This window comes from Homo sapiens, chromosome 7 (assembly GCF_000001405.40).
Source record: "Homo sapiens chromosome 7, GRCh38.p14 Primary Assembly".
Taxonomy (NCBI): Eukaryota; Metazoa; Chordata; class Mammalia; order Primates; family Hominidae; genus Homo; species Homo sapiens.
This window is the reverse complement of record NC_000007.14, coordinates 123,757,675-123,783,285: the sequence shown is the minus strand read 5'-3', so window position 1 is coordinate 123,783,285 and position 25,611 is coordinate 123,757,675. Positions and strand designations below refer to the sequence as shown.

At 37.9% G+C, this 25,611-nt stretch overlaps 1 protein-coding gene across 1 annotated transcript in view; it reads right to left on the bottom strand.

Annotated features, from left to right (window-relative positions):
• HYAL4 (hyaluronidase 4) overlaps nt 1-19,578 on the bottom strand; it is a 113,774-nt gene extending 94,196 nt beyond the window's left edge. Inside the window, exon 1 of the mRNA XM_047420093.1 lies at nt 19,550-19,578. The gene's annotated coding sequence lies outside the window, so the exon portion shown is untranslated. The remainder of the gene's footprint in view (nt 1-19,549) is intronic.
• Between the last annotated feature and the right edge of the window lie 6,033 nt (nt 19,579-25,611).

Below are 25,611 nucleotides of genomic sequence, written 5' to 3'. Positions count from 1 at the left end.
GCAAACTAATCCACATTTTCTATACAACTTAATCCATAAAGGATCATGTCTGATTCATCTTTGCATTATCAGTACTAGCCCAGGGCTTGATGTGTAGGACGCATGGGATGAATATTTATTGAAATTAACTGAAATTAGCTGAAACTCAGATTTCCTGATCATGAATAAAAGGAAAAAATTTCTTTAAGCAGATACCTGCTCATATCAATGCTACACTTTAGAAAAAGTCAAACGCTTTTGACTTTATATTTATATTTGATTTATAAATATATAATCAAAAGATTATATATTTATTTACATAATGATAAAAAATTGTTATTCCTCCTATGGTAGAAACCTGTTAGTTAAAAACCTGGCATTGAAAAATTCTGAATATGGTTAAACTAATTTTAAGTGTGTTCTGTGGGATGTTATATGTGTCACAGGAAAAAAGGGAGTTTCAATAATGAAATAAATTTAGGAAATGAGTTACACTAAGTTAAAAACATTTATTATATGACTTCTCAGAAGCGAGTACATGTTGTAAATTTCTAAGAGGGAGATGGAATATGATTTATTTCCCAAGCTTATTGAATCAAGAAATCCTACCATCAATGAGGATCTTATGAAAGGTGAACCATGAAACTTACTGTCCATACTGAAACACTTTTGAAAGTGAAAGGGAGAGCTAGTTAATAATTATGCCAGGACAACAGGTGTAAACTGGGATCCTGCCAGGAAAATCAGGATGTATGGTCACCCTACTTTTATAGGGTTTTTTTTTTAAATACACTTTGAAAAAAAACTAAATCAATATGGCCAAGAGATAAAACTATTTTATGTCAATACCCGTCTGCTATTAGTATATGTGTTGATAATATCAAGAGGAAGATTACTTGCATTTTAAACATAATGTAATGTTCTTATTTTTCTAGCTCAAGGATTCTCACCATTCTTATAGCTCTTTTCCTGAAACTATAATTTGAGTGATAAGGTTGTATGGTTGGGGAAGAATAATACACAATGGAATTTCTCACTTAGCAGTTAGGAAGATGATTGAAGAATGCTGGCTTCCTGCCTAGAGTCTACCCCACCAAAAATACTAGGATCATATATGTCAACAACCTCTTTTTTCTTTTGTATTATTGATATTAACCACATTGTAAATGATTTCAACTATGGAAAGGCAGCAGTATCTCAGGCTTTAATGCAAGGCAGAGGCAGGGGAAGCATATTAGCCCATGGTGATGGCGTGCCTATAGTCTTAACTACTCAGGAGGCTGAGGTGGGAGGATTTCTTGAGCCTCACGAGTCCAAGGCTGCAGTGAGCCAGGAACTTGCCACTGCACTCCAGCCTGGGATATAAAGTGAAACCCTACCTCGAAGAAAAAGCTTCATAAAGGAATTACCATTTATGAAGTAACCCAGGTTCTAGACTAGCACTGTCCATAGAAACAGGAAAGCCACAATTTGATTTTACAGGTTCTAAGAGCCACTTAAACTTTGTTTAATAACAGGTAGAATTAATTTTAATACTATTTTAACTCAAAATATTCATAGTATTATTATTTCAATATACATGCAATATAAAAATATTAAAGAGATACTTTTGTTTTTCATATTAAATCTTTGAAGTCTGGTGTGTATTTTATACATATAGCCCATCATAATTCTGACTAGCCACATTTCAAGTGCATACGTGTGTAGGGGTGGGTTGCCCCTACACACCTGTGGGTGTTTCTCGTAAGGTGGGACGAGAGATTTGGAAAAGAAAAAGACACAGAGACAAAGTATAGAGAAAGAAATAAGGGGAACCGGGGAACCAGCGTTCAGCATATGGAGGATCCCGCCAGCCTCTGAGTTCCCTTAGTATTTATTGATCATCTGTGGGTGTTTCTCAAAGAGGGGGATGTGTCAGGGTCACAAGACAATTGTGGGGAGAGGGTCAGCAGACAAACACGTGAACAAAGGTCTTTGCATCACAGACAATGTAAAGGATTAAGTGCTGTGCTTTTAGATATGCATACACATAAACATCTCAATGCTTTACAAAGCAGTATTGCTGCCCGCAGGTCCCACCTCCAGCCCTAAGGCGGTTTTTCCCTATCTCAGTAGATGGAGCATACAATCGGGTTTTATACCGAGACATTCCATTGCCCAGGGACAGGCAGGAGACAGATGCCTTCCTCTCGTCTCAACTGCAAGAGGCATTCCTTCCTCTTTTACTAATCCTCCTCAGCACAGACCCTTTACGGGTGTCGGGCTGGGGGACGGTCAGGTCTTTCCCTTCCCACGAGGCCATATTTCAGACTATCACATGGGGAGAAACCTTGGACAATACCTGGCTTTCCTAGGCAGAGGTCCCTGCGGCCTTCCGCAGTTTTTGTGTCCCTGGGTACTTGAGATTAGGGAGTGGTGATGACTCTTAAGGAGCGTGCTGCCTTCAAGCATCTGTTTAACAAAGCACATCTTGCACCGCCCTTAATCCATTTAACTCTGAGTTGACACAGCACACGTTTCAGAGAGCATGGGGTTGGGGGTAAGGTTATAGATTAACAGAATCTCAAGGCAGAAGAATTTTTCTTAGTACATAACAAAATGGAGTCTCCTATGTCTACTTCTTTCTACACAGACACAGTAACAATCTGATCTCTCTTGCTTTTCCCCACATATGTGACCAGTGGCAACCATATTGGAGGGAGAGTTCTAAAACTACTCTTAGATATTTTGTATTTGGCTGTGCAGATGATTTCATATATTCTTAGATGATGATTCTAAGGGAGCTATACTACTTGGTGAGGAAAAATGAATAATAAAAATAATCTTAACTGTCATTCCTTATATTCTTATGTGACAGCCATGTGTCAGTCTTTTCTGTACATTATCTGAGGTAATCCTTGTGCCTATGAAGTGGATACGTTTTTATCCCTGTTTTATTAAATAGGGAACTAGGCTGATAAAGATTAAATAACTTAGGCAAAGCACTTAGCTGGTAAGATAGAGCAATGTAGTGCAGTGGGTAAGAGCAAGGACGATGATCTGGCACCCTGGTTTTGAAATCCTGATGAAATTCTTAGCGAATATATATTTAGGCAGCTTATTTACTCACCAAAAGTAATCTATAGTATGACTTAGCACAAAACCTGTCACATTTCAAGATCTACAAATACTGGATTTGTTAGTATTTCTATTATTATTACTGTTATTACAGGTGTTATAAAGTAGGAGAGCCAGAAATCAAATTCAAATTTAACTGATTTTAGAGCCTACAGTCTTAATGAGAATTATGCAATTTGCATGCAAGCAACATATACTGTATTACAGCTAATTCCAAAAATGCAATAATTTTACTTGTCATTGTATGATAGTTTTTTATGTGTATTTGATGTGTTTATTTTTTTAATTTGCAAACTTCCCTAAGATGTTTCAAAAGACCAAATAAATAGATAATGAGTACTCATATTTTAAAAGTCAGCCAAGATGAATCAGTTTGAACTCTACAGAAGAAAGGTACTATGTAAATCCAAGAAACCATAATTAACAGAATTTTTGAATAATTATAACATCTGAGAAAATTAAGCTTGATTCTCTCCTAAATTTATACTATTAAAAAGTTTACCTAGAGATGAAAATTTTAAAATTTTTTTTATTTTGAAAATGTTCAAACATACTCAAAATAGAATTTTATAATGAATCCCCATGAACCAATCATGCAGCTTCAATAATTAACAGCACAATCTTATTCCATCTATACCCTTACCACCACCATCACCATTATTTTCATTATATTATTTTAAAACAAATTTCAGACATCATATTATTTCACCTGTAAATATTACATTATGTGCATTATTAAAGATGTTCTATGGAAAATATCAGGCCTTTCCTAAAGATGCTTTTGTCCAAAGGGCAAGCACTCTGGAAATCTCAGTTTCAATTCTCCTTCATTGTCACTGCCCCGAGAAATGTTAGGTTGTAGCACTCATATCAGCATTTCATTTGGTCTTGGACAATAGTTCTTAACCTTTTTCTTCTCAAGACCCCTTTTTATTCTCAAACTTGTTGAGGACTTTAGAGAGCTTTGGTTTATGTGGGCTATATCTATTGATGTTTACTAGATTAGAAATTAATACTGAGAAATTTTTTAAAATCTTTATTAATTCATTTTAAAATAACAATAAAGTTTAGTTGAAATGTGGAATCTGGAATCTTATATAAGCCTCTTACATATTAACATGGGTAACATATTTGTATGTAAATATATTTATTTTTCCAAAACAAACAAACAAAAAAGCTAGTGAGAAGAGTGGCATTGTTTTACATTTTTACAAATCTCTTCAATGTCTGCTTAATAGAATTCATTTGGATTCTCATATCTACTTGGCATTTAAACTGTTGCAATATATTGCTTTGGCTAAAGAGTATGAGGAAGTGTAATTAATTCATGTAAGATTCATCAATCTGGGCTAAAAATTTAGGTAAAAATTTGAAAAGGAATATTTAGATATTTCAATTGTCAAAGTGTCTCTCTACTATTTATGAATTACAAAGGTAAAACCTGAAATTTTACAGTACAAAAATCTGTGGACACCATCTTAATCAAGCTGGCATCACCAAAATGGGAAGCTATCATCATGTGCTCTTGATGTGGCGCCCGAGATCACAACTTCACTTTTGTTGTGCTCCTGCCAAAAGATTCATAACCTGCATCTCATCACTAGGAAACTCACATCAAAAGACATCGTACGAAACAATGAAAAATTATTTAAATTTAAGAGGCCCACGCTCTTAAAAATAATACTGTCATGAAAGATAAAAGAGGAAAAAAAAGGCTGGAAACTGTTCTTGATTACAGGAAACTAAAAAAGACATGGCAATTAAATGTAAGACGTGATCTTGAATTGAACCCCCGTCAATTGGCAAAATTTAGATATGTATTGTATAATGGATACCTGCATTGAATTAGTGTTAAATGTCATGAAATTGATCGTTTTATTATGATTTTATAAAAGAATACACTTAGGAAATGCTCATTGATGTATTTTGGAGTAAAGAAGTATAATGCCTGCAACTATCTCTCAAATGACTCCTGAAATAATACGAATAGGTGATAGATAGATAGATAGATAGATAGATAGATAGATAGACAGACAGACAGATAGAAAGATGGGTATGGAATGGTAAAGCAAATGTGGCAAAAAAAATTGATAAATCTGCTTGAAAGGTATATAGGAGTTGTCTTGTGCTGTTCTTACAAGCCTTCTATGACAAAATTATTTCAAAATAAGTAGTTAAAATAAAAATAATTTAGAATTTTAGAACTTCAGTTAATATTTCTCTCAATTATAAATTAATAAAACCTTATAGAAATAAGCAAAAAAAAAAAACTAACGAAGAATTTTGCCCTGATTTCTTTCTTAAATTTCTCATTTTAGAAGTATAAAACAAGGAGATGGAAAAATAAACTCATGATGGAATTAAAATAATTCTGTTATTCATTAGCACATTTTCTGAATTGAATGCTTTTTATAACAATACAAAATTCTGTTTATAATCAAAATGCACTTATCTAGGACACCATCTAAAAGTGGTTCACAGTTTTATGGAAATAAAAAAAATATTTTTAAATTAATTCAAATCAACAAGTATATAGCGAAATCAGGTGCTAACAGTGCTTAAGCATCTGGAATAATGAAAAATAGAAACACAGAACCTATCCTCAAGGAGTGTATAATTTTATCAAGCCAAAACTTTTTGCACGTGTGAATTAAAAAGTAAAATAAGCAGCATATGATTTAGCACTTAAATGTTAAATATCAGTCAACTCTGTCTAACAAAAGTATAATGCAAGCCACATGTATAATTTTTAATTTTCTATTAGCCACATTAAAATGAAGTAAAAAGAATCATATGAATAATTTTAGTTATATGTTTTATTTAACCCAATATATCCAAGACATTATTATTTCAATATGTTATCAATATAAAAAGGAATATTTTACATTCTTTTTTATACTGTTTCAGAAATCTAGTATGTATTTTACACTTATAGCACATTTCAATTCAAATCTGCCACATTTCAAGTAGACAACAGATACATGTGGCTAGTGGCTACCATTCAGCACAGAGCAAGAATAAATAATGGTAAGAGAATTTCTTTCATAAAAATTACACAATGGTGGTGGCGTATGGCTTCAAAATGGTCTCATTATCTGGGAGTGCCAAGGAGTTTTTATTAACTGTAATTACTTGAATTTGGTGAGCTTCTTATTCTCCTACGTATTTCCCAGGATAATGGTCTGTTGCAAAATTCCCCTTCACCGTAATTATTTTTTGAGAGTTTTCAGGGGTATTTTGCCTGTAGTCACAATCAATCAATCCTTTCACCAACCTTGGCTGAGAAGCCACTTGAAGGGAAGCATCATCACTGTCAAAAGACATGTTTCCTAATATATCCCAAATCTGCAGTGTAGAGATGGAAAGAGCACCTCACAACTCTTTGTGCCAGTGCTGTAGTGTGTGCTGCCCCAAAATGTAGGACATGTCCCTCTCCAAAACCTCATCTTCCCTCATGAAAATGGTGCCTTCAGCCAGGCACAGTGGTTCACACCTACAATCACAGCACTTTGGGAGGCCAACGTGGGAGGACAGCTTGAGGCCAGGAGTTCGGGAGCAGCCAACTGCAACATAGCGAAACAACATCTCTACAAAATATAAAAATAAAAATTAGCCAGGCGTGGTGATGCCCACCTGTAGTCCCAACCACTTGGGAAACTGAGGCAGAAGGATCACTTGAGCCCGGAAGTTTGAGGTTACAGTGAGCTATGATCACACTGCTGCACTCGTTTGTGCAACAGAGTGATTCCCCATCTCAAAAAACAACAAAAAACCCACACACCTGCAGCTTTCACCTAACATGCCTCTCCCCAAAGGGCCATAATTTAATACAAGATCAAGAAAGAGACAGCATGTCGCCCATCGTTGCATTGATTTCTAGCTCCCAGGCTCCCATGCATAAAGCTTCCTCAGACTTCCTGCAGCCAGAAAGTCTTCATCCCAATCAATCCATGGAAATCACGCTCTTCTTAGGCTTATCCTACCAGTTCCCAAATGCCACCCAGTCATGCTGAGTCCCAGCAATAGGCACAGTCCTCTTTAAAGCTGAGATCTTTGCCGTATAAGCAGAGACATACAGAAAGATATCTTACTTTATGCAGTAGACATTTTCTTGAAACTTTTATATAAATTGAAACTGTCTAAATTAATTCCTATTTAAAATGGATTATAGATGGCAAGTGTTGGGTGTGCCTGAAAAAATCTTCTCTAATCCAATTCCTCTGATTTTCCAGATGGCTAAAGTGGCCAGGCCAGTTTGAGCTTGCAAACTTGAAACACACGTGGTCTGCTCTATATTTCCAGATAGCTGCAGGTCTTCCAAGTTCTGGTTTAGGGGGCTTCCTGTTACACCAGTTGCCTAGGGTAGTGTGTCATTTTAAAGATTCATCTGGAGAATGATCAAAAAAAAGTAGGGAACTCTTTTGGTCTGTCATCTAAAGATGACAGGAAAGATGACATCTAAAGACATCTAAAGATGACATCTAAAGATGGAGGAAAAATAAAGATAAAACCAAAATCAGAGATTAGAATGAAGAAGGCTACATCAAGTCCATCAAGTCCTTGTCACAAGTGGACTGCACTCAGCATTTTATACATGGTACAAAGCAGAGTGACTTTGCTGTAGTTTTTGTCTTATTCCAGATGTGGTTGAAGACTAACAACAAGTTGTTTCTGATATTCAATATATATAGCTTTAGTATGGAATATAAAATAGGAACTCTCATGGCACTTTTTTTCTTTCATTTTTTTTTCTTTTTTAAAGAGACAGGATCTGGCTCTGTCTCCCAGTATGGAGTGCCATGGCGTAATCACAGCTCATTGCAGCCTCAAACTCCTAGGTTCAAGCAATCCTCTCGCCTCAGCCTCTTGAGTAGCTAGTACTATAGGCATGTGCCACCATGCCTAATTTTTAAACTTTTTGTAGAGATGAGGTCTTGCAATGTTGCCCAGGCTGGTCTCAAACTTCTGGCCTCAAGCAATCCTCCTGCTTTGACCACCCAAAGTGCCAGGATTACAGGCGTGAGCCACCATGCCTGGCCTCTCAAGGCATTTTTAAAAGATGTGCAAGTATTCTCTTAAAACATTTCATGAGTTGTCTCATTCAATCAAGTGCTTACTTAGCACCTACAATGCAACAAGCACTAAGCTAGACTCCAGGTATCCAGAGTGGAAACGATATTTTCCCTGCTCTTAAGTTTCTTGTAGAGGGACATAGAACAAGAAAATAAGCAATTTTAGTACTGTCTGTGGTAAAGGTACACATAGAAGAGATACCTAACCCAGAGAAAGCATCCTGGAAGTAGTGAGTGCAAAACTGAGACTTAAATTTGGTTGGAATTAGCTAGGAAAAGCATGGCAAAGAAGGTGAGAGATAAAGTATATCGACATAAAGAGTCAGAAGGGAAAGTGCCTCCAAAGACCCAGAGGTGAGAGAACACATGTTCAAGGAACTGAATAGGCAGGTGAGATCTATGTGAGCCGGATCAGAAAAAGCCTTGAGGAATGTTAGGAATCTGGACTTTATCGTAATGGAAATGAAAAAATACTGAAGGGTTTTTGAGTGGCTTGAGACAAAGTCTGCTTTGCATTTCAAGGAGATCCTATGACTGCAGCACTGACCATGAATTAGGGGAAAAAGAGAGATCCATTAATAAGCAGTTGCCGCTATCCCAATTATAGTAGATATCTGGTCTAGGATGGTAACAGAGGCTGCAAAGAACAGCAAAGGACAGATTTCACAGGAAAAAAAAAAAGGAAAATTGACAAGATTTTGTGACAAATTGAAGATCAAGGCAAAGGAGCATACCACACCCAGTGAGCAAAACATAGGAGCAAGAATTAAGCATGTGACCAGGCATGGTGGTGGCTCACGCCTATAATCCCAGCACTTTGGGAGGCCGAGGTGGGAGGATTGCTTGAAGCCAGGAGTTTAAGACCAGCCTGGGCAACATAGCAAAACCCCATGTCTCTAGAAAGTTTTTAAAAAATTAACTGGGCATGGTCATATATACCTATAGTCTCAGCTAATTGGGAGGCTGGGGTAGGAGGATCACTTGAACCCAGGAGTTGAACCTAGGAGTTTGAAGCTGCAGTGAGCTTATGATCAAGCCACTGCACTACAGCATGGGCAACAGAACAAGATTCTACCTCTGAAAAAACAAAAATAAAAAATAAAATACAATTAAATTAAACATGCGAGACCATGTCTCACTCACCCTTGACCCCCCACTGCCTAGCAGACTGCCATGCATAACAGAGTGTAAAACAAATGTTTGATGAATGGATGGATGAATATGGAATTATTGACTGACTGACTAATTAAATTCATTAAGAAGCAGGAAATTTGAGGGAGAGGTGAAAACAAAGAATGAGCATTGCCTAAGAAGAAGAAAGTTCAATCTGAAAAATTAAAAATTCCCATCTAGATTGAGATATTGTTTGAATTCTGAATCATGAGCTTGAGGAATTTAATTAAGCAAACAGTAAAGGTCTGACTCAATGAGTTGGTTCCTGTAAAGAAAATGCACACAAACGTATATGCGCATGCACACATGCACACACCCCAAGGTAAAATTGAATTGTTAACAGCTAATACCATGTAAAAAAATATACATTATGTAAAAACATTCTGTGAGATAAAATCTATCCCTAAAGTATGTAAGTACCCGGTAGTTATTCCTGTTTGAACTAGTACAAATTGAGCTAGTATAAATTAATATGAAATTTTAAAACCAATAATGTAATTTCAGGTAGCAATTAATTTATTCTTATCTTACTCTTCCATAGAAAAGAGGAAATAATTAAGGAAAATAACAAAGAATACTTATTATTCATAAATAGATAAGTATTAAATAAATGAAACAGTAAATATTTACTTTTTTAAAATGTAGAAATAGGTCAAATCTGATAAACCACAGTTTATATGTTTTTTCCCATATAAGAGCACAAACAGGAACTCATACAAGAAGAGCACCTGGACTATTTGTTGCATTAACAGCGAAAACTCCTTAATTAACTATAAAATATAAAGAAGCAAAAACGAAGTGCGAATAAGAATCAGGAAAAAGCAAAGACTTCCAGTAGCTTTCATGGGCAAGATTAGACTTAAACCATCAGAAAAATATTCTTATGGAATACAAGTTCCAATGACATAAGAAAAAAAGAAAAAGAAAACAAATCAAGACCACCACTGAATCTTAGGAGAGACAATGCGGTGTGCCATGAATAGCTGGCACTATCAGTTCTTTTTCATGGGTGTAGTCTGGTCTGACATCAGATTTCGTTTTTTAACTGTAACATCTGCTAACAGTGTCCTTGTCCCTCACTTGGTGGATGGCCCTCTGCAGCTTTTGATCTTTCAGCCCCACCCCACTTCCTTCTGACTTGAGGCAAAAGGCACAGAAGCAGCTTTCATCAGGAAGAGCTTGGCTTTAAGACAATTTTCTATAATTCCATTTCGAAGATGCTTCACTTTCCACAGGTTTCATTTACTGTTCCACAAGTCACAATTTCTACACCACATGCATCAGATAATTGGATTGCTGCTTTGTCCCTAATTCCTAGTTTCGGTCTCAGTTTTTTGCCTACTTACTCATTGCTACCACTAAGATGAAGCACCCTTTTGTCTATTTTAACTTTAGTCTCCACGTTTGAAATTTTGTAACAGAAACATTGTTTTCAATGGTTGGAAATCCTGTTATTTGTGCACAAGCCTCTCAGATGACAAGTCCCATGTGTCACTTGTCTAGATGCCAGAGTGTCACATGTCTCAGGTATATGGGTATTATGATTATGCTCTTGCCACCTATTGAGATGCCCACTATTGCCTGAACCACGACGGGATGTTGCGGTTGCCCAGGGAATCTATCCACCAATCACTCTGCTTCCAGCCTTAGTGACTTCTATCCAAATCCAAGTATATAAGTCAAGGTTCTCCAGAGAAACAAAACCAGTAGGAAATATATAAACATATTGGAGCTTTGAACTTCCTGGGTCTCCACCTTTTTATATATAAAAAAGGAGATTTATTATGAGGAATTGGCTCACATGATTATGGAGGCTGAGAAGTCCCATGATCTGCCATCTGCAAGCTGGAGACTCAGGAAAGCCGATGTCAGTCAGTCTGAGTTCAAAGGCCTGAGACCCAGGGGAGCTGATAGTGTAAATCCCAGTCTGAGGGCTGGAGAAGACAAGGTGATGTGTCCCAGCTCAAACAGACAGGCAGGAAGCAAAAGTGGTTAATTTCTCTTCCCTTTCCCTTTTGTTCTACTCAGACCCGCAACAGTTTATATGATGCCCTCCATCTTGGGCAATGTACTTTACTGAGTCCATTAGTTCAAATGCTAATCTCTACATGGATGGGTAAGTTAAAAAAAAAAAAAAAAACCTCAAACCAAACAAACAAAAAACAAGCAAAGAAAACAAACGCTAATCTCATCCAGAAACACCCTCACAGACACTCTCAGAAATAATGTTTAACCTAGGCACCCTGTGGCCAGTGAAGTTCACACACTAACCAATAAGTCAAGTAATTGGTATTATGTACAAACTACCCATAACAAAAATGCCAAAATATCATAACAACTAAAAGGTTTTAAATTGCAACAAGATATTAGTGAGATGAAACACTATGGAAAAAATATATAAGGTTGCCAATGTATGTGAATGATGAGCTGAAGAGAATAACAAGCTGGGTAACTGAAATCAGATACTAGATGCTACTGGCATCTAGTGGGTAGAAGCTAGAGAGGTTGCTAAACATCCAACGCACAGACAGCCCCACAACAAAGAATTATGCAGTCTGAAATATCATTAGTACTAAGATACAGCAACACGTACATGTAGTTTTTGAAATCTGTATCCCTCATTTTGCATGATACCATGTTGACTGAGATTTGGAATCAGTGAATAGTGAGGAAATAATTTCAATAAATATGAGATTCAGTTAACATCGTACCAAGCAAGATGAGGACTGCCTTTATTTATTTGTCAGTTGAAGCTCAACTATCCATGATATTATATCAGGAAAGGAAACATATTTTTAGAAATAGATCTTCTCTTCAGCCTGCTCTTCCCAGGGTAGATTATTTAAAGTTAGGATGCTTAGAACTAACTGGACTTTTTATCTTCTTCTAAAACCTATCTCTTCCTCACCCTCTTTTTCTGTTAATGAAACTACCATTATTTTTTCTCTTCTGTCTCCTGAAGCCCTCCAATAAATTACCAAGCTCTGGTTCTATTCCTACCGTATTTACATTCATTTCCTCCTTCTTATTCTCAGTACCCCATCTCTAATTCATATCTTCTTTTTGCCTTTCACGGACTATAATTGCTTCATAATAAGACACAGAATCTCTGCCATGTAATCCATTTTAAGCATATGTCATATATAAAACCTTTTTTTTTTGATAAATTACTTTTCTTAAAGCACAACTCGGATCATGTAAATTCTTTGCCCCAAAATCTCTACTACTTCCTATTGTCTGCTGAATAATCTGACCCCAACGTACTCTAGTTTCATTTCTCAACACTCCTCTCCATGACTAATGCTCCCCTGAGCAGAATTACTACACTTCATTGTGTGATTACGCCCTGCTCTTCCCCATCTCTGAGCCTTTGTTCACACTGTCCACTCAGCTAGAAACCTCCACCCTGACTCATCTTGTTACCTATCTTTCCAACTTTAATGTTACTTTTTCTCCCAGGTCTTCCCTGGAACTTCCACGGCAGGATTTTTTTTTTTTTTTTTTAGATGGAGTCTCGCTCTGCCGCCCAGGCTTGAGTGCAGTGGCGCGATCTCTGCTCACTGCAAGCTCCGCCTCCCGGGTTCACGCCATTCTCCTGCCTCAGCCTCCCAAGCAGCTGGGACTACAGGCGCCCGTCACCACACCCAGCTAACTTTTTGTATTTTTAGTAGAGACGGGATTTCACGGTGTTAGCCAGGATGGTCTCTATCCTCGTGATCCGCCTGTCTCGGCCTCCCAAAGGGGATTTTTTTTTTATAGCCCACTTATGGTTATGATTTCCAAATGTCAGTTCACAGACAAACCATCAGTGACAAACTTTTCTCCTGTCCATGATGAAATGAACAATGTAGGTGAACGTTTTATAAAGGAATATTTATTTAGTTTAAACTTTATTCTGATATCATGCCCAGCCTTTTATTATTAAAATATCCTCTCTTTTTAAATATTGTTTAAAAAAAAAAACTTTACTTGGCGAAAATAAAAGCTGATAACCACACGTTTGTTATTTCAGTTGCTGAGAGAAATTTCACTGGTCTGTGAAATCCACGAGTCCTCATATCACATTTTACCCAGGATTAGTAAGTGGTCAACTTTTTGTTTAACGGTGTTTTTTTTTTTTTTTCAAGTCTCTTTCACTTACAGATTTGAGGCAGCTATTATTACTCTATGAGGTTATTTACAAAAGGACTGTTTAAACTATAGAGCAGACCGATGTTTGCATTGTGTAGTCTCTTACACTTGACGGTGAATTGTAGTGGACACTGTGATGCATCACCAAGATCCTCCTTCAGGAGGACTTGTTTCCCCCATGCTGGAAGGGCTGTTGGCAGAAGCCATCAGCTGCCAGCCTTTTCGGTATTGCTCCAATTGCAGAGAGCCACCTCAGTCAAGGTCATGCCCCTTTCTTGGCAGCTCATACACAATGACTAATTCACACAATGTCAGGAATACTCTGAAGGGCCATTCTAACCCCAGAGGTTTTCCTTGGATCAGCAAAACTGTTGCTGGGTCTGCTCCAAATTTAACTTTTCCTTCTGCCTACTCCTGCTTCCTCCTTCCCCTCTCTCTAACAGGTACAGGTCCCATAAACACTCCTATACACAGCCTAACTGCTAAACTCCATCCCAAAGTTGGCTTCCTACGGAATCCAACCTTCTTTATTAACTCATTGAAATCCAAAACTATGCTTTTTAATCTTTACATCTTCCCAAGAGCCTTACGTTGTGTCTTGAACATGTACTTGACACAATTAGAAAGGTAAATTAAGATAGATCCTCTTGCTTGAACCCATAATTCTACTTAGGAAAAAAAAGAAGACTAAACATACATAGGTAATGAACTCACTTGTGTTTCTCTCCCTGTGATGATATCATTAAAATTCTACTTCAGTATTGGTAGATTCTTACGTTGAATTTATAAGCTGACATGAGAAATACAATTTAAAATGTCAAAATAATGTTACCTTTACTTAGAAATGCTCATGGGTCTCTGAAAACAGAAACAGACTGTGGCATACAAAAAGGAAATTATTAAAAGGCTCATACAAATCTTAGGACAGAAACAGGGGCAACATCATTTGCCTGGAATCATAGCAAAAAAAAGTAACCAATGGACAATCTCCTCAGCTAGCTGATCAGAATGAACCAGCTCCTTTTCTTGGCTCCAAAGTAATTCCTCTTGAAACTCAAAATTCAGGGAGAAATTGTTTGCCTGGCCTGAGTTGTGTCACATGTTCACCTGGTCAAAGATTGCAGGACACTGGACTGACAATACTACCAAGATTACATGCAACAGGAGATGTACCTCCTCAAATGGTAGCTGAAGTGCTGCCATAAGGTTGGTGCAGATGTACAGTGTACACTGACTGATGAATCGGCCTACCTTATACAAGTCTATCAGATGATCATAAGCAAAAAACATCCCGAGTCTCTGAGTCTGAGGATGAATCGAGGCAATATTGTAGTAGCCATTGCCCAATAAATGTAATCAAAATGCCCTATAGTTTCACTTTTCAGGAGTGCTAAACAAGTGGAAATATCCTAATAAGATAGGTCTTTACCAGATAAACAAACCAGAAAGTACAAAATATAGATACTTAAATTATATCAACCAAACCCATGTAAATAAAGTGAGAACAGGTTGCTTACATTATTGAGATCGAATTGTTTGGTTTTTATTTTAATAATGGCAATTTGATTGTAAATGTTATTTATTTTTACTGAGGTTATGTAGTACTGTAGTTATGTTTATAGCACCTATGATTCTGGATGGATGAAGTGGCTGCCTAATATGAGATTACTTATTTTCCTATTCTTTTAAAGTTAATCTTAATCTTACATTTTTTAAAAATTAAATTTATTCACATACCTTTGTGGTAGGGTTGCCAGATAAAATACAGAATACCCACTTAAATTTGAATTTCAGATAAATAACAAATACTTTTTTAGCGTAAGCAGTCCCAAAGGTTGCATGGGACATAATTATACTGAAAGTTATTCATTGTTTATTTGAATTGTAAATGTCCTCAGGTGTCCTGCTTTTTATTTCCCCTCTAAATCTGGCAACCCTACTTTGTGATGCATACCTGATGTTTTTTAGTATCTGGCATTCATTTTCCCTACCACTGGTAAACAAACCTCTCTTTTCCTTTAGAGGACTATCCACTCTACTATTAATATATGTGTGTGGGTGGAACTGACCCATCTCTTATAGGTGCATGATTCAAGCTGTATCAACCTAACTCAATGTCATGCCACGGTGATTGGTTCAGTAATGGGGACATGACTCTGGTCAGGACAATGAGAGCCAGACCTAAGACTTTTTTGCTCTTTGTAGAAAAGACAAGAGTTTTTTTTATTTGTTTTGTCCTGTTTTGCTTGTTTGTTTTTCCTGAAATTATTGCTAAGCTTGTTGGTGATATGTCCTGGAGCTGCAGGGAGCCAGCACATGGAGTCTGTCCAAAAGTGGCTTCATAGGATAAAGCTGAAAGATGAAGAATAAAAGACTGAGACCTACTGATGTCATTGAGCCCTGGATCCAGCTAAGCCTGAAGAGGTCTATCTTGGACTTTTTCATTATTAGAACAGATAGATCCAGTTCACCAAACAAAACAAAACAAACAACAACAATAATAAAACATAAGCTACTACACTTAAATTGTTGCCACCTGCAGCCAAAAGTCTCTTTTAGCAAAGATATTTTGAGGCAATGAGAGGCATATACGATAAAGTTATTAAATAGAAAAATCAGAACCAAATATATGAGGACAAAATAAGCCAATCCTAAAAGTTAACATAATTTAATGTTTTCTAATATATGTGTACTACTGATAGTAAGATGATTTTAAACATATATAATTTTTTATTTGATAGTTTAATACTATTTCAATGTGAATTAAATACATAGCTGCACATCATAACCAAATGTTCTTATAAGACACATTTGCTAAAGTAAAAACATGATTTGATTAAAATTAGATTATAAATTATTCTTCTGGAAATATAAGGATATGGCAAACATCATGAAGGTATCATGCAAGGGTCCAAAATTTTAAAAGCATTGACATAGTTAATGTGATTGTATATCACGTTTTGCTTTGAGTAACCTAGCAGTCAGGGTTGGGGCAGGAAATGGGGAGAAATATGTTATTTTATAACTATCATCAGAAAACAAAAATTATGTCAATATTTCTGGAAAACCCATTTATTCTCTGCAGGCAAATTCCAAAACAAATTTCTCATTTAGTACTTATATGAAGACTGTTAACCTTTATTACTTAAGAAGAATATCCTCAGCAATAGTTTTATAATCAAATAAAACCATCAATATAAAAGGAAATTTTTAATGTTTTTTCTTATAAAATCTTCCATTAAGTCAACAGTTTTAAAAATATACTTTAGTACAACTGGTTCTATAAAATTTAAGTTAATATGGCACAACCATGCAGCCTTTCAGGGATCTAATTTAACGAAAAGAAAAAAATAAGCTTAGGTTACCCGGGGGTTTCAATGAGCATTTACATTGAAAACTCGTAAACCCCACATCTCTTACTGGGTTTTGAAAGTAGCTGAATAGCAAACAATTAGCTATCTGAGGTGGCTTTAGAATATTGGTGCTATATATTGCTAATGGATTCATATGCTTTGAAAATCAAGAGAACAAAAGACAACTATTATTAATGAGAAAAAGTAAAAGGCTTTTGGTAATTCAAAGAATTCTGTAGCAATTACAATTAGGAACCTTTCATAATAGGTAAGATGCCAGCGTAATGTCCCTCAGTACAGAATGTACATTGTTAGAAATCCAAGTGTAGTAGGCCTTTTCTATTAGGAATTATAGGAATAGGAATGGGAAAGTGGGAAATCAAGAATAGTTTTTGAAGAAAAGAACAAGTAACATAATGGAACGACAGCAAGAGATAAACGAGAGAAAGATATGAAGTTAGGCTTTCTAAAGCATATTTCGGAGAGGAAATTCAAATAGCTTAAGGAAGAGTAAAACAATAATAAATGAAACCTAATCTCACATGAGAGAGTGATAGAACACATCCAGAGAATAAACATATCCAGGGAATAAATGTCCTTGGGGCAATGGTTTCTCTTACTAAGGAAGCAGGAAGAGTATATTGTTTGCTATTTTGGGGTATAAAGTAGTTTCAGTCATAGCCTTGGTTTAATAAATATGAAGACTAAGATAAAGAGATGCACTGTGTTGGTAGTAGATTAGTTGAAATGCTGATTACAGAAAGGCAGACTACAAAAGCAGATGTTCCTTTAAGTTTTAATTTCTGATAAAATAAATATTTAAAAGTTATTTTTTCTTTTATTGCATAAATATTTGCCTTCTATTGCATTAATTTTGAAAATACAAACTATTCATTAGCAGATTTTACTTCTGAAAAGTTTATGAAAACTAAGAAGGGAATTAAGGTCAGATTATTAGAGTAACAGACCTTAAATTCCCTTTCATACCACATTTCCCATAGAACTGAGATACCTAATACACTGAAGAGTGGGGATTTCTCTACCTAATTAAAGATTACATTTTAAACTCTTGACTTGCAAAAATCCCTAATGTATAGTTAATTGTATGCTATTTTTCTCCTTACCTACACTGACACAAAAACTCTTCCCTAACCCTTCTTAGAAACTTGCTTAGAGAACAACATTTTTCTATACAGACAAAGCATCTCTGTTATCATCTTTTCATCTTTCTTCACCCTCAGAGTGACAATTTTTTTTATTTATCACTGATAGCTTTGTTAACTCAAAAGAGTTAAAATGCAAAAACTTCCAGAAATATATTTTTCTTTGAGAAATTGATTTTTATTAATTAAAAATTAACACATATTCTGACTGATGAACAAAATGTCCAAAATAAGTAGCTGTTACGTACTTAATGTTGCATTTTTTTGTAATAGAAATATCTTTAGACAGACTATTTAATTATAATATGTTATTGCTGGGCAATCTGACACTTTGGTTGAATATATTTCTATCATTAAGCATCACTGTCACTTTCAAAAGAAAATTTTGTTTTCTTTTCTTATCAGATTGTTATGGATCAAGAGTGTCCATAAAAAAGAACTAAAACTGGAGTGGAAGCTGGTAGCTGGCAAAAGATCTTCCAATGAAGGTGGGAGAATTTTCAAGGCACTTACCTGGCTACAGAGGATGACTTTGGCATTTATATCCAAACAGGTGAGAACAGAAGTTTCAGCCATGATTAAAATAAAATATTTAGCATTGGGAGATCCAAGATTATTTAGCAGAAAAAGAGATAGAGAGCTACAAGGAAAGTTTCTTAAAACTCCCAAGCATCTTCCCTTCGTCACTCACTCCATTCCTTTCTTTCCTCCCTTCTCCCTACTATATGCTTTAATCATTAGTCAACAAATTCTTACTGAGATCCCTAGACTCTGTGCTAGGCAGTGGAGGATCATCTTCATGAAAAACATACATATTCGGGGACATGTAATTGTAAATGTCAGGATCCATCTCCTTAGAGTCAAATGAGGGGACAGATAAGTACAAATAAGTTCAATTCATTTTAAGCTGTGAGGGGATTAGATGCAAGTTGCAATGTGGGCACAGAGGAACAAGGGACAACTCACCCGGGAAATTCAGAGAAGGCTTCTTGAGGTGGTAAACACCCAACATAAATATTGAAGGAGGCTGGGCACGATGGCTCACCCCTAAAATCCCAGCACTGGGAGGCTCAAGTGGGAGGATTGCTTGAGCCTGGGGGTGCAAGACCAGCCTGGGCAACACAGTGAGGTCCTCTCTCTACAAATAATTAGTCAGGCGTGGTGATGCGCTCCTGTAGTCCCAGCTACTCAGTAGCCTGAGGTAGGAACATCACCTGAGCCCAAGGAGTTCAAGGCTGCATGAGCCATGATCTTGCCATTGCATTCCAGCCTGGGCATTGGAGTGAAACTGTCTCAAAAAACAACAACAAACTAATTTATTGAAGGAAAGCTTGCCTGAGAGACACACTGGGGGAAACAGGAGAGAAGACATTCCAAGGAGAGGGAATAAAGTGTGAGAAAAGCGTGGCCTGTTCAGGGAACTACAAGTACTGACAGAGTGTAAAGTTTGAGTGAGGGGTTGGAGGTGGGAGGAGCAGCTACCAGAGGATGAGGCTGAAGCTGCTGGAAGGAAGAGATATTAAAGGGCCTTACATGTCATGGTAAGGAACTCAAATCTTACATTGAGAGGTGACAGCATGCTGGCAGTCCTCGCAGCCCTCGCTCGCTCTCGGCGCCTCCTCGGCCTTGGCGCCCACTCTGGCCGCGCTTGAGGAGCCCATCAGCCCGCCGCTGCACTGTGGGAGCCCCTTTCTGGACTGGCCAAGGCCAGAGCCGGCTCCCTCAGCTTGCGGGAAGGTGTGGAGGGAGAGGCGCGGGCGGGAACCGGGGCTGCTCGCGGTGCTTGCGGGCCAGCGCGAGTTCCGGGTGGGCGTGGGCTCGGCGGGCCCCGCAATCTGAGTGGCCGGCAGGCCCCGCCACCCCGGGCAGTGAGGGGCTTAGCACCTGAACCAGCAGCTGCTGTGCTCGACTTCTCGCAGGGCATTAGCTGCCTCCCCGCGGGACAAGGCTCGGGACCTGCAGCCCGCCATGCCTGAGCTTCCGCACCGCCTTGGGGCTCCTGCGCAGCCCGAGCCTCCCTGACGAGCGCCGCCCCCTGCTCCACGGCGTCCAATCCCATCGACCACCCAAGGGCTGAGGAGTGGCGGCGCACTGCGCGGGACTGGCAGGCAGCTCCACCTGCGCCTGGTGCGGGATCCACTGGGTGAAGCCAGCTGGGCTCCTGAGTCTGGTGGGGACTTGGAGAACCTTTTTGTCTAGCTAAGGGATTATAAATACACCAATCGGCACTCTGTATCTAGCTCAAGGTTTGTAAACACACCAATCAGCACCCTGTGTCTAGCTCAGGGTTTGTAAATGCACCAATGGACACTCCGTATCTAGCTACTCTGGTGGGGACTTGGAGAACGTTTATGTCTAGCTAAGGGATTGTAAATACACCAATGGGCACTCTGTATCTAGCTCAAGGTTTGTAAACACACCAATCAGCACCCTGTGTCTAGCTCACGGTTTGTGAATGCACCAATCGACACTCTGTATCTAGCTACTCTGGTGGCGACTTGAAGAATCTTTGTGTCCATACTCTGTATCTAACTAATCTAGTGGGGAGGTGGAGAACTTTTGTGTCTAGCTCAGGGATTGTAAACACACCAATCAGCACCCTGTCAAAACGGACCAATCAGCTCTCTGTAAAACAGACCAATCGGCTCTCTGTAAAATGGGCCAATCAGCAGGATGTGGGTGGGGCCAGATAAGAGAATAAAAGCAGGCTGCCTGAGCTGGCAGTGGCAACCTGCTCAGGTCCCTTTCGACACTGAAAGGTTTGTTCTTTTGCTCTTTGCAATAAATCTTGCTACTGCTCACTCTTTGGGTCCTCAATTCCTTTATGAGCTGTAATACTCACCGGGAAGGTATGCAGCTTTGCTCCTGAAGCCAACTAGAGGACGAACCCACCAGAAAGAAGGAAGAAACTCTGAACACATCCAAATGTCAGAAGGAACAAACTCCAGACACGCTGCCTTTAAGAACTGTAACACTCACCGCGAGGGTCCGTGGCTTCATTCTTGAAGTCAGTGAGACCAAGAACCCACCAATTCCAGACACAATATTGCAAACAATGAGGAGCCTCTGAAGAATTTTTAGGAGAGAAAGTAACATGATCAGATTCTCACTTGCATGCTGGCAATGATGTGCTGGGTGAATTGTGAGAATAAAACTGGCGAGAGAAGTGAGGTAGTGAAGGATGCTTGATTTAGGGCACAGGCAGAAGAGATGAAAAGGAAGTGGTGGTGGAGGGATAATAGGAGATAAAATTGACGGGAGGTGGTGACTGAAGATTAGAGGGCAGGAACAATGTGAGCAATAGGAGGACAAGATGGTTTTTGAGGTTTCTAATTGGAAAAGAGAGTGTGGTGGTATTAAACACTGAGATAGGAAACACAGAAAAGATTTTAAACAAAGATCGTGAGTACAGATGTGTACACAATGACTTTGAGGAACTTATCAGTTGTAGCTATAGTCCAGACCTCAGAAGAGAGGTTTGGAGAAATACCTGGGAATCACAAAGAGGGCAATAAAAGCTGTCGACATTAATAGTGTCACTGTTAAGAACACAGGCTCTGCTGTCAAAAGACTCAGATTGGAGTTGCCTCTCTCATTGACCTTGTGCAAGTTTTCTAAATCTGAAACGTGCTGTTAATAATATCTCTTATAAACCACTAAAGAATTAAATGGAAACGTATCTAAAGCATTCAACATGGTGTCAGGCATGTCGTAAGTGCTCGGTAATGCTACCTTATATTATTCTGATGAATCGGATTAGAAAGTTAAAATTCACCTGTCTGGGTGCGGTGGCTCACACCTGTAATCCCAGTACTTCAGGAGGCCGAGGCAGGCAGATCACGAGGTCAGGAGACTGAGACCATCCTGGCTAACATGGTGAAACCCCATCTCCAGTAAAAATACAAAAAAGTAGCCGGGTGTGGTGGTGGGTGCCTGTAGCCACAGCTACTGGGGAGGCTGAGGCAGGAGAATGGGGTAAACCCGGGAGGCGGAGCTTGCAGTGAGCCAAAATCGCGCCACTGCACTCAAGCCTGGGCAACAGAGCGAGACTCTGTCTCAAAAAAAAAAAAAAAAAAAATTAAAATTCACCTATTCACTAAATCTTCTGGGGACCCCTATTCTATTCAAGGCCAAATAAATGAGGCAAAATGATAGAACTCTGGGTGGAATTAATATTTAAGATGCAGAGCCATAGAGAATGGCAAATGAGTGATCATATAAGCAGGATAGAGACACCCTACATAGGACCGATAGACACCATATTGATTGATGGTAGAGAGCTTGCAAAGAAGAAAATGTCCAATTCACATTTAGTTATGTGACAAAAATGTCACATTAAATATTAGATGTCACCCCCAATATTAAAATATTGGGGATGGAAACAAGCTCACATTGCTTGATGAGTGAAAGAGAAAGGAAAGTAGACAATGAGTATAGATTACTGTTTTTAGAAGGTTGTCTGTGAAGAGGAAAGATACGAATTAGTAACAGTCAGGGTATTTACTTATTTAAATTGATTATTTTAATGAAAATAGTTTTTAATTTGAGAGATATCTGAACATATTTATACATTGACCAGAAAGAGCCAATGGAGAAAACAAAACGATGTATATAGGCAAGAAGGGACTCAGAATCACTGATGGAGCAAAAGGAAACAAGGAAATGTAGAGCGCAGCAAAGCAGAAGGCCTTAGGAAGAGCAAAGTGCTTCGCTCAGTGAGTACAGAGATGCCAGACCTAATGGGTGCTTGAGTTACCTTTATTGCCACTTGAAGAATTCCTAGGCTATCAAAGAATTACTGAATTCCATGTTGAGAGAGTGCTAACTACATTAGGATACAGAACACTATGACCATCTGGGAAATAACTGAAAATCAGTTCACCACTGGGAATGAACAGGAACTGGTGGCATGTGCAGCTTCAGGCACTGTGGAAAAGTTCTGGTTCAGAAGGCAGATCTTTGCATTGGGGGAGATGATGATCTTAACAGTGGTCACTATAAGGGAGCTCAACATGAAATGACAGTGTTTAGAGTCAGGGCGTGGAGGAATTGGAATTACTTGGAAATCTGGGAAATCAGCATCAGAAAAGTCCTTCAGCTGTTAGAGCTGGAAGAGGAGATCTATCCTCTTAGACCAATATTTTATAGGCACAAAAACCCTTAACAGATTATCAACAATTGGAATTAAGCAATATTTAAAAAGGGATCATATATCATGATCAACTGGGGTTTATCCCAGGAATGCAAGCCTGTTTCAACATTTTAAAATCAGTGTAATTCCAGGAACAGAAAATCAAACACCGCATGTTCTCACTCATAAGTGGGAGTTGAACAATGAGAACATATGGGCACAGGGAGGGGAACATCACACACTGGGACCTGTGGGGGGTGGTGGGGGGCAAGGGGAGGGATAGCATTAGGAGAAATACCTAATGTAGACGACGGGTTGATGGGTGCAGCAAACCACCATGGGACATGTATACCTATGTAATAAACCTGCACTTCTGCACGTGTATCCCAGAACTTAAAGTATAATAAAAATAAAAATAAAAATCAGTATAATTCACTGTATCAACAGACTAAACAGGAGACAAAATATGAGCTTATTTAACATAAACAGAAAAAGCATTTGACAAAATTTATGAGGAAAACCTCACAGGAAGATGGGATAGAAAAGAACTTCCTCAATTTAATAAATGGCATCTAGCATCATATTTAATGATCACAGATCAAATAAGTAAAAAACAGAAAACCATAAAGAACATCAATGATACCAAAAGAAGTTTCTGTAAAAAGGCCAATAAATTAATAGTAAAACAAAACAATTGTTTGCTTGCCCTAAAATATTAAGAAAATAGTTTTTAATGCATGCAATGTGATTGAATATGCTCCGTAATTTTTGAAAATTTGGCTTAACACTTTTTGACATGGGATCCAAAGGTTTTGCTATAAGGTGAGTTTTATCTATACTATATTTTAGTGGCCATAACTGAAAAGGACGCTTTACAAAACACATGAATATACACCCGCCTGGGAGAAATACACATGAATTTGCTTAGTTGAGCATAATACTTATGTTTTTCAATTGTATTCACCTGTTATAAATTTGTTAAAATTTTGATAGTAATTTTCTTGCAAACTGAGAAGTATTTCATTTCCATATTTTCAGCAAATAAGAAAACACCAAAATTTTTTTACTTGGAAAAATTTTAAACAGGTTTGAAGATTGTTTTTAAGTTTAGAAATACATGTTTTTACAGGTGACATATTTTATCATTTTGAACTTTAAAGTCACATAATGATGGACAAGATTCCAAATGACTGTTTTCAAAACATGCTTTTGACAATGTAAGTTTCTTTTGAGAAGTAGTTACTTTCTCACTCATGGTTAAAAACCTTGAAGCCACATAGTAAATGTGTGCTTTCTTTTTCTTTTTTCAAAAGTATCTACTAACAGTGATTTCTTGTCACTGGAAAGATCAGCACACTTGAACAGTTGTCTGTTTTGTTTTAAAAAAAGTAACATCCTAAGTTTAATGATTCTTATAAGAAATTTACACAAAGATAGACTGTCTTTGTTATTAATTATTTTCATGGTCATCTCCTATCTCATTATGAAGTATTTAAGATACTTTAATTCATAAATTATTAGTTTAGCAGCCCTGGATCAAATCATGAGTTTCACTTTTGGCTGTCTCAGTCCTGTAACTATCAGGGATATATTTTTTTCAGAATTATCATAAAATATCCCTGTAGCAGGCTATCCTCAGAGGCAACATTCATTCATTCTTACTGGTTAATTTATCTAATGCTATCTCACAATTCTTGAATTCCTCACCCTTCTATTATTCGATGGCAAAAACTATGCAGTTACCTAAAGCAAGGGTTGGCAAACTTTTTCTGTAAATGGCCAGATAATAAACATTTGAGGCTTTGCAGGTCATAAGGTTTCTGGTACAACTACTCAACTCTGCTGTTGTAGCATGAAAGCAGTCATAGACAATACTGAAAGAATGGTCATGGCTATGTCCCCCCCAAAAAGCTCTATTTACAAAAGCAGGCAACAGGATAGGTGGAGTGTAGTTTGCTGATCCTGGCCATAAAGCTTTCTAGAACCTCAGAAGTTTCTAGATCCTAATAACCAGAGGCAGTAATGTAATTGTCTGATGCTAGTTTCCCATCTTGGAATATAAATGAGAGTTTCACCACCTCTTGCTCCAGTATAGCCAGGTAAACAGTGCCAAATGACCCAGTTTTCTGAAAGATCTGTTGCTTGTAACCACCTTCATGGTACAAATTTTAGAATACCTAGGGTTTCCAGTTCAGAATCACCTAGAGTTTTTGTAAATAACAGAATCTGACCCAGGCTAGCTAAAGCAAAAGGGAATTTATGGGAAGGATGTTGTGTGCCTCACAGGTCAGCTCATTTTTAAGCAGAGGGCAATTATCCTAGACCATCTTCCTATTCCACTTGATATCAGACTAGCTCATTGTACAAAATAACATCATGCTGAAATGACCGGTAGAGCAGGAAGTTGCAAGTACACTATGTCCTTGGTCACATAAATGAATGCTGGGGGATAGAAATGCCATGAAATATAGGAGCCTGATACCTCAGGGGTG